The sequence below is a fragment of the Homo sapiens genome, chromosome 1 (assembly GCF_000001405.40).
Source record: "Homo sapiens chromosome 1, GRCh38.p14 Primary Assembly".
Classification (NCBI taxonomy): domain Eukaryota; kingdom Metazoa; phylum Chordata; class Mammalia; order Primates; family Hominidae; genus Homo; species Homo sapiens.
In genome coordinates this window covers 246785901-246795398 of record NC_000001.11, presented here as the reverse complement: position 1 = coordinate 246795398, position 9498 = coordinate 246785901, and the positions used below count along the sequence as shown (strand labels likewise).

The 9498-nt window shown below is 56.3% G+C and overlaps 1 long non-coding RNA gene across 1 annotated transcript, besides 2 other annotated features; it reads right to left on the bottom strand.

Moving 5' to 3' along the window:
• Window positions 465-1106: an enhancer, noted in NCBI's record as "H3K27ac-H3K4me1 hESC enhancer chr1:246957595-246958236 (GRCh37/hg19 assembly coordinates)". NCBI's record gives its function as "activates a minimal SCP1, AML or CMV promoter by ChIP-STARR-seq in naive H9 embryonic stem cells {active_cell/tissue: H9 hESC(naive)}" and the evidence as "EXISTENCE:reporter gene assay evidence [ECO:0000049][PMID:30033119]".
• LINC01341 (long intergenic non-protein coding RNA 1341) lies at window positions 3913-5782 on the bottom strand. Its single transcript, NR_015422.1, has 2 exons — window positions 5701-5782; window positions 3913-4953 (listed from the first exon to the last, which is right to left on the bottom strand). It is a non-coding gene; the product is annotated as a long intergenic non-protein coding RNA 1341 (long non-coding RNA).
• Window positions 6462-6541: a silencer, noted in NCBI's record as "silent region_2038". NCBI's record gives its function as "represses an Ori minimal core promoter by ATAC-STARR-seq in GM12878 lymphoblastoid cells {active_cell/tissue: GM12878}" and the evidence as "EXISTENCE:reporter gene assay evidence [ECO:0000049][PMID:35858748]".

The following is a 9498-nucleotide window of genomic DNA, read 5'->3' as shown; positions in this document are numbered from 1 at the left end:
GGGGGCCAGGCACAGGCTGCAGTCTGGCTGGCCAGGCCCGACTGTGGCGAGGCTTTTTTGGTGAATGTGTAATGTGTGACTGGTAATGATGCTACTGGCAGAGCTAGGGAGAGAACATCAGGGCATGCCAGCGAGGGAAACGGGGAGGACTCGGGGCCTGGCAGGGCGTAAGGCCGGGTGTCTATCCTGGCATTCGCTGATGATATCACACCCTAAATGGGCTGTGATTGAATTTCGGCCTCCCCTGGCCACCCCGGCTTCCACCCCACCCCACTCCCCGTGGCCACGAGGCCCTGGGAAAATCCCAAAGTTGAGGATCAGACCTGGAGTACTAGGGGACTGGAGCTGGGGATTCCGGAACCTCATACTGCCTAACTACGGCCTCAGGGCCTGGGGGGTGGAGCAGGGTGGGGTCTGTGGCATCAGGAAACCAGACAGTTAGGGCTGTACTGAGTCACGTTCTGTGTAAGTGGTGGCTGGGACTCTCAGCTTCAAGGGTCAAGTAAGGTCACATGGAGGAATACGGGATTTTGGGTTCTGCATATACAGTAAAAATTGGAAGGGTTTTTGCCCTCTTTACTCTTTGTCAGAGAGGATTTCAAGCTGTAAAAGTCTTCCTCGTGGCTGCATAATCATCCCCGTTCTGTTTACTGTCAAATCCCTACGCCACAACAATCCTTGTGTGGACGAATGACATGTTCAGGTTGCCAGGCGAGGGTTCGTGCCATACCCCACTTTTTGCCATCAACATCTGATTCTCAGCCAGCCAGCAGCACTTCGGGAGAATGAGAGGCTGCATGGAGACATGGGGAGGGGCTGCCCAGGCAGGGGACCAGAGCGGGGCATGCAGACAGCTGGGGAGGGCAGCCGGGAGACAGCTCCTTGGAACTGTCCAGTCCAGATGTACTCAGACTCCTGACGGCTGGCCTGCCTGAGACTCCACCCCACCATCAGCAATGCCCCAGCCCCTCTCAGCTTTCCTCCCTCCCCAGGAGGGTTGACAAGGTGCACAGAGACGGGAAAGAAGTGTTGCTCTCCCCAGTGGGCTGGTGCGGACTGGTGACACCCAACCCTCTCCACTTCTCCTGCAGGAGCGGCAGATGATGACCTTCCCTCACCTTCTTAACCTCAGCGAGGACCCTCAGCTCACCAGGGTGCTCAAGTACTTCATTCAAGCTGGTACTCAGCCGGCCCCCTGCCCCCGCCCTGCCCTCTCCCCACCCCACCCTCCTGCCTTCCCCTGCCCCAACCCTGCCCTCCCCCTGCCCCTGCTCTCCCCTCCCTGCCCTTCCCCTCCCCCTTCCCTTTCCGTGTCCTTCCCCTCCCCCTTCCTTTCCCTGCCCCCGCCCTGCCTTCTCCCCACCCTGCCCTCCCCCTGTGCTCCCCCTGCCCCTGCCCTGCCTTCTCCCCACCCCGCCCTCCCCTACCCTCCCCCCGTCCCCGCCCTTCCCATGCTTCTTGCCCCACAGGCATGTTTCTTTTCTTTCTTGTTTTTTAAATATTTTTCATTTTGGTAAAATATACATAAAGTTCATTTGAACCATTTTAAGAGTACAGCTCAGTGGCATAAAGTACATTCATATTGTGTGACCATCACCACCATCCATCTGCAGTACATTTTCATCTTCCCAGACGGAAACTCTGTACCCATGAAACGGGAGCTGCCCCTCCCCCTCCAGCCCTGGGAGCCACTGTCCCACCTTCTGTCTCTGTGTGTTTGACAGTGGGGGGACCTCAGATAACCCCTCCCCCTCCAGCCCTGGGAGCCAGTGTCCTACCTTCTGTCTCTGTGCGTTTGACGATGGGGGGACCTCAGATAACCCCTCCCCATCCAGACCAGCAGCCACTGTCCCACCTTCTGTCTCTGTGTGTTTGAGGATGGGGGACCTCAGCTAACCCCTCCCCCTCCAGCCCTGGGAGCCAGTGTCCCACCTTCTGTCTCTGTGCGTTTGACGATGGGGGGACCTCAGATAACCCCTCCCCATCCAGCCCTGGGAGCCAGTGTCCCACCTTCTGTCTCTGTGTGTTTGAGGATGGGGGGACCTCAGATAACCCCTCCCCCTCCAGTCCAGCAGCCACTGTCCCACCTTCTGTCTCTGTGCGTTTGACAATGGGGGGACCTCAGATAACCCCTCCCCCTCCAGCCCTGGAAGCCAGTGTCCCACCTTCTGTCTCTGTGGATTTGACGATGGGGGACCTCAGATAAGGACCTTTTCATCCATCTCTCACTGGCTTATGCCCTCAGCAGAATGTCCTCAAGGTGCATCCATGTAGCATGTGTGAGAATTTCCTTCCTCTTGAAGGCTGAAAACCATTCCCTCGGATGTATACAGCACGTTTTATTCATCTATTATCCTGGCATCGTTCTTGTTACATTTTTGTTTAGCGGTTTCTGAGGAGGGCATCAGCTGTTGAATTGTCTTCCTGACCTAAATGAGTGCTGAACAGGTTGGAACACAGCGCCCAGAACCGCAGGAGCCCCTGGCTTCCCCTCCCCGGCTGTGCACCCCCAGGACGGCCGCGAGGGCTCCGTGCACCCCCAGGACGGCCGCGAGGGCTCCGAGCACCCCAAGGACGGCCGCAAGGGCTCCGTGCACCCCCCAGGGCCGCCGCGAGGGCTCCGTGCACCCCCCAGGGCGGCCGCGAGGGCTCCGTGCGAGATGGCCGTGGGATGTGGGGATGTGGGGGGTGACATGTCTGCACTCCTTGGGGTCAGTCACTACACAGAAACGGAGCTTCAAACACCAGAACCTCTGCTGTGGCCAGTATTCAGTGGGTCTCCTAAGGCCCAGACCTAATGGTGTCTTCCTCCAGAATGCTCATGAAGAAGGTGGAACTTTTTAAAAGTTAGGAACATCCCCGCTCTTCCCCCCACACACAAGGCAGAAAGAAAAGTATGTCTAAGTACCATTATGATTGAAAATCCCAACTGGAAAAATCCCTTCAGTACCATCCCACTGTAGAGAAAACGTCACTTCCAACGCATCAGACATGTTAACTTCTTACGCTCAAATTCTGAAAGTGTCTGATTTATTTTCAAAATAAATTATATCTTGATTCCTTTCAGGTTCATGTGGCACCGGTCAGGCTGCCTCAAATGCTATCACGATTCAAGGTTTGGGGTGAGTTTCCATGATCAGTGTCCTCGTCCAGCATTAGAGAATTGTGCCTCCTCCATCTAGAGGTCTGCAGAGCCACACAGTCTGCAGGACAAGCAGGGACACTGCCCAGGTCTCCCCGGGCCACCTACTCCAGGGCTGGTCTGAGAAAGCTGAGGGCAGGGCTTTCGTCCTCTGGCTGAAATCTAGGGTGCAGTGCTGGTTTGCTTCCTGGGCTCCAACCCTGGGAGAAAAGGGAAAGCTGGTTTCTAGATTCTGTGTAATAATTCTTCACAAACAGATATAAGTAGAGCAGGCCAGGAAACGAAGGGGGCTGAACGAACAAGCCCACCGGGGGTGGCCCAAACATAAGCGCATCCCTGGATCTCTCCTGGTGCTTGGAGCCCTGACCCACCGGACTACAGAAAGCCCAGACTGTGGAGTGACCCCAAGGGCTCCCTCAGGAGGCCCCGCAGGAGCCCTGGGAAACCCCATGCCGGGCCTCACCCAGTCAAGAGCTGTCCCCAGCTCTGTGGCTGCCCTGCCTGGGAGGCTGCTGCTGGAGTGTCCTCCTCCTGCTTCCAGCTCTCCAGCTGGGAAGCACCATCACCTACATCCTTCAGACAGATCACCCCCTGCCCCCGTACGAAAGCCCACGGGCCGTCGTGGCTGGAGGGGTGCTGACCCAGGGGCCGGCTGGCCCCGCCTCGTCCTGCACTGCCAGCCTCCTTCTTGGGACATCTTCCTGGGGATCCCCCTCAAGTCCCTTTCCAGAACACGTCCTTAGTCCAACGCACAGGTGCGTAAATGTCTGAACTCCAGTGATGAGGCCGCAACCTTTCCCACAGGATCCCTGGGCCCCATGCAAAAAAGGGTTTGGATGCACACGGGTCTCCACATCCAGAACATTCCATGATGGCCAAGGAGTGCAGGAACATGGAACATGCTAAGGCAGGGAGCCAGTCATTCAGGACACACAGATGACATCGGTGCAGGGGAGCAGGGCGGGGAGAGGGGATGCCAACCTGACACCCCGACGTCCAGCCCCAAATCCTATAAGGTCTGAATTTATACGGCGAGGGCGCAGAAACAGATCAAAACGTACCCGGAGTAGGTGAGGCTCGTTAAGAGTCGCCTCCTGAGCGTCTCTTCTGAAGCTTGCTTGCTGCCATCTTCCCACCACCCCATCCCGCTGGCCTGGGAGCGGGAGGACTCCAGTGTGGCCTTGGCCGGCTCCCCGCAGTGCTAGGCCCTCAGCTGGTGTTCGTTCTGTTAATGAAGCCCTTGCCTGCTGTCTCCCAGCTCCCCGTGCTCCCCAAGGGCAGGGTCCTTCTGCGCCCGCTGCTGTCCCCATGCATCATGGGCCACAGCACACAGGAGGCCCCGAGATGCCACCTGCCATCCTCCGCAGCTGTAGACCTTCCCTCCTGTGCACATGAGAAAGGTCAGCCTACCTGCTCACGGAAACCGCCGTTTGCTGGGTGTCTTTGACTCTCATCTTCTTAGAATTTCAGATAAACACGCTTCCTTCACAAATGCCGACGGTAAAGTGACGGTCACTCCACATAGCAAATGCAAGGTTGCCGTTAACGGGGTGCCCATCACCACCAGGACAAAGCTGCAGCATTTGGTAAACTTTCCTGCAGGCTCACAGAATGTCCTAGGTCCCCCCCAAGAGCTGGGAGGGGACAGTCATGTGAGGTGCCCACATCACAGACGTGGCAGGATGGGGCGTTCACACCAGCTCCTCTGCCACCATGGCTTGGGGACAACATGGCACCACTGCTGGAGGGACAGGCCTGCTCCTGACTCACTGTGTGGTCTTGGGCAAGTCACTTCACTCCTCTGACCTCACCTGGAAAACAAGGAGGGCTGAACTAGGTGTTCTCCAAGGTCCCTTCCAGCTCTAACATTTTGTGCCATTTTAGATTTTTCTAAGAGCCTGTCACTGAGAGGGGTTGAACAGCATCTTGCAAACATCGCTGCCTCTTCCTCCCCAATCTGCCAACCCTGGGGCCCCTGCCAGCTTCCCAGCAGCCCTCTCCCCTCCCTGGTGGCCACAGCCTTTCAGACAGGACAGGCAGATGGGGATTGGCCGCTCCCCATTTGGAAAGCCCCCTCAGTGACCTCCCTCGGCCTCCTGTCCCTGGCCACACTGCCCTTCTTTTGGTTGTTCAGCAGCCGTCTCTGCCTCACCAAGACTTACCGCCCAGGAGGGCTTAGCTTGGGCATCACGCCTCGGAAAAGGCCGTCTGTAGCCTGTAGTCTGAGTTAGGTCCTGGTGTCCCCTGCAGCCATTGCTGCACTCACCCAGACCAGCCTGGAAAGCGTGGAGGGAGGGCCTGGCTCTGGGTGGTCCCCACAGAACCCCAGGGCCAAGGGAGTCACGCCCTCAATGTGTGCAATGAAGGTGAACGCAGGAGCCAGAGGCCACCTCCCTCCTGTCTGCGTCTCTCCCTGTCTGGGGGATTCCTGAGGGGAGGACATTCCTCAGATCCTTCTCACTGGGGAGGTTCACCTCACCCTCCTTGGCCTCGAACCCCTCCTGAGCCCACCGTCTCCTCCCCAGGACCGCCTGATTTTGGGATCCAACAGCACCTACCTGTACGTGGGGTTTCCTTCGGAGTGGGGCAGTGAGGACCTGAGCAGGTTCGATTACGACTTCTTCCAGCTGGAGAGGGCGGCTGCGGAGGGAGCGAGTGCAGACAAACTCGGTGAGCCCCCTCCTGACTGCTGGCCTCTCCCGTGTGCTGATCTGAGAGCAGCGATTTCACACTGTGTCTCTCTGCTTTCCTTAAGAACATCATCATTTGTTTTGTCAAAGTCTGATGTTTACAAAATTGAATTATGATTTCCATATAGAGTGACTACATGGTAAACATTCAACTCGTTAAACGTTCCCTGAGGAATGAGGGTAAAGATGGTTCAAAGGGGTAGAGAAGAGAGTGGGGTACCCAGCAAATGAGAGAAGAATGCTGAGCTGGAGAAGCCAGTTAGTGGCCTCCGGCCGCCCCCAGGGGCCTGCTGGGCCTGCAGAAGCAGTGGCCCAACTCCAGAGGGGCCGGCTGGGGCCTGCTGTGGGCTGCAAATGCGCGGCCCGGAAGAACGTGCAGCCCGAGGCCTCTGAGACAGAATCTCCCCTCCTCGCCCGAACGCAGCCCCCAGCAGTAGCCCACGCGGGCCGCCCGCCGCTGCCGGTCTCTGCTGGGGCTTTCGCGCGCCTTCCCCGCCCCTCTCCCCGCCCCGATTCACCGCGCTCCGGGCGGCTCCCCCAGAATCCTGGCCAGGCCGGAGCCCGCTGCGATCTGAGTGACCTGCGGGCTTCCCGGAGGGGCCCCACGCTTTGCTCGGCACCGGGACTCTGCCTGAACTCGCAGTAATGAAACCGCTGGTGGAAAGTGGGCAGATCCACCTGTGTGTGTGCAAGAGCTCCTCCCTGTCCCCACACCACAGTGTTTCTCTCAGAATTTCAGCAAAATAAATCGATTAGAAATTCACCTCCTTGCTCTTCTTCTGCTGAAGTTTTCGACTTTTAAAAATGAACAAGGCCGGGCGCGGTGGCTCACGCCTGTAATCCCAGCCCTTTGAGAGGCCGAGGCGGGCAGATCACGAGGTCAGGAGATCGAGACCATCCTGGCTAACACAGTGAAACCCCGTCTCTACTAAAAATACAAAAAAGTAGCCGGATGTGATGGCACACACCTGTAGTCCCAGCTACTCAGGAGGCTGAGGCAGGAGAATTGCCTGAACCTGGGAGGAGGAGGTTGCAGTGAGCTGAGATCGTGCCACAGCACTCCAGCCTGGGTGACAGAGCGAGACTCCATTTCAAAACAAAACAAAACAAAACAAAACAACGAACCAGTAAGACTCTGTCATACCAGGCCCGGAAAAGCCATCTGTTCATTGACCTGTCCTCAGAGGTTGACCGTGCCACTGCCCCTGTGGCCCTGGTGGCGCCATGAAGCTGAACCAGCCCCAGACCCTGGCTCGGACCCTAGGGAAGACTTGGGTCCCCAACAAGGCAGCAGCTGTGTGAGCAGTTTGGGGTCAGACCTCAGGGCCAAGGGCACTGTGTGCACCCACAGGCCAGGGGTCTCTAAGAGTTGAGATTTCCTGATTAGAGGCAGTACCAGCCTGGGTTTGGGAGGGAGATTGATCCTCCCATAATCTCCACGAGCCCCTCCTTCAAGCCACCCCAAGTATAAGAGAAGCACAGGTCACTTGCTGTGCCAGCAGCAGCTTGAGGATACCTCCAGGCCTTCCGTCTAGCCAGCCATGTTTCACCTCGCCCCACCCTCCTCCAGTCTGGAGCCACCTTGGGTCAAGGACCCTGAGACCAAGAATGGGAACTGGGGGCAGAGGACCTCCTGCCTGCGGCCAGGATTCATGGGTCGAGATAAGCAACCACGTAAGGAGAAGCCAGGCAGTGTCATTTTCCCTTGTTTGTTTTTAAATTACATGCTTGTAATTTTAAAATGTAGATATTTGATGAACAGCTGAACAAATGAATGAACAAATAAGCATACACATTTATTCATGGCGGCTGGGCGTGGTGTCTCATGCCTGTAATCCTAGCACTTTGAGAGGCCAAGGCAGGAGGATCGCTTGAACCTGGGAGTTCAAGACCAGCCTGGGAAACAAAGTGAGACCTCATCTCTACAAAATATTTTAAAAATTAGCCAGGCATGGTGGCTTGCACCCGTAGTCCCAGGTACTCAGCAGGCTGAGATGGGAGGATTGCTTGAGTCTGGGAGGTGGAGGCTGCAATGAGCAGAGATCATGCCACTGAACGCTAGCCTGGACGACAGAGCAAGACAGCTGTCTAAAAAAAAAAGAAAAAGGGCTTGGCATGGTGGCTCATGCCTGTACGCCTGTAATTCCAGCACTTTTGGAGGCCGAGGTGGGCAGATCACCTGAGGTCAGGAGTTCGAGACCAGCCTGGCCAACATAGTGAAACCCCATCTCTACTAAAAATACAAAAATTAGCCGGGTGTGGTAGTGCGCACCTGTAATCCCAGCTACTCAGGAGGCTGAGGCAGGAGAATTGCTTCAACTTGGGAGGCAGAGGTTGCAGCGAGCCGAGATGGCGCCACTGCACTCCAGCCTGGGCAACGAGAGTGAAACTCTATTTCAAAAAAAAAAAAAAAAAAAAATTCTTCATGGCGGAACAAGTGACTGACTTTCGCCTCCACTGTGATTGTTGCCAGGTGCTGCGGACGGTGGAGACGGCAAGGCGGGCCCCAGTGTCCTGGCTGCGTTCCAGGACTACATCAAACTGATGCCGCTGGTTCAGAAGCAAATCAAATGAGTGAAGAGCCAAAGAAGGTAAGTTAGCTGGAGCCAGGAGCTGGTGTGCCAGGTGCAGAAAGGACCTCAAGGCCTTGTGGGGCAGGGGTGCGTTCCCAGGGACTCTCAGGGAACTAGCCACAGAAGCCAGACTGCCCAGCCCAGGCCCGAGTACCATTCCTTTCACCAACAGCCTACCAGGGCCACCGGGATCCCAGACCAACTCTTGCTGGCCATGAGCAGGCCCTCCCAGATGGTCCTGGGGCCTCTCCGGGTCTAGGCACCCTGATGGCTGCTGTGCCACACAGACCACCTGGGCTGGGGACAGCTCCCTGGAGACGTGAGCTCCCATCGGCCGGAACCTTGTAAGAGATTTAATCAATTTGGTAGGGACTCCAAGTGTTAGTTCCAGGATATAATGGAGAAAATCTGGTGCTCTGTCTTTCCTCTTAGTGGGAAATCCAAGGGGCAAGAGTGGGACATCTTAGAGAGAGTCTTATTCATTCATCATTTAGGAAGCCCGAGGGTGGGAGAATGAAAAATAAATTGCAAAGGTGGTATGAGCTGTGAATGTAGGATTTTTTTTTTCTTTTTGACAGGGTCTCAATCTGCCGCCCAGGCTGGAATGCAGTGGTGCAATCATGGTTTACTGCAACCTCCACTTCCCGGGTTCAAGTGATCCTCCCACCTCTGCCTCCCAAGTAGCTGGGATTACAGGTGTGCACTTCCATGCCTGGCTAATTTTTGTATTTTTAGTAGAGATGGGGTTTTGCTATGTTGCCCAGGCTGGTCTTGAACTCCTGGGCTCAAGCGATCCACTCGCCTCAGCCTCCCAAAGTGCTGGGATTACAGGCATGAGGGACTGTGCCCAGCAGAATGTACAATTATTTAGTGAGAAGTGTTTCTTTTACCAGGGACTTAACATGGAATTGAAGGTGAAAAATTTGGCATCGTCAGATTCCAGGGGCTATGACCTACAGAAGGAGGTCTTGGTGAAGGTGACCCACCACGGGTCTCACGAGGTGAGGCCCCACAGGGATGGGACTCAGGAGGTGAGGATCCATGGGGATGGGACTCAGGAGGTGAGGATCCACGGGGACGGGACTCAGGAGGT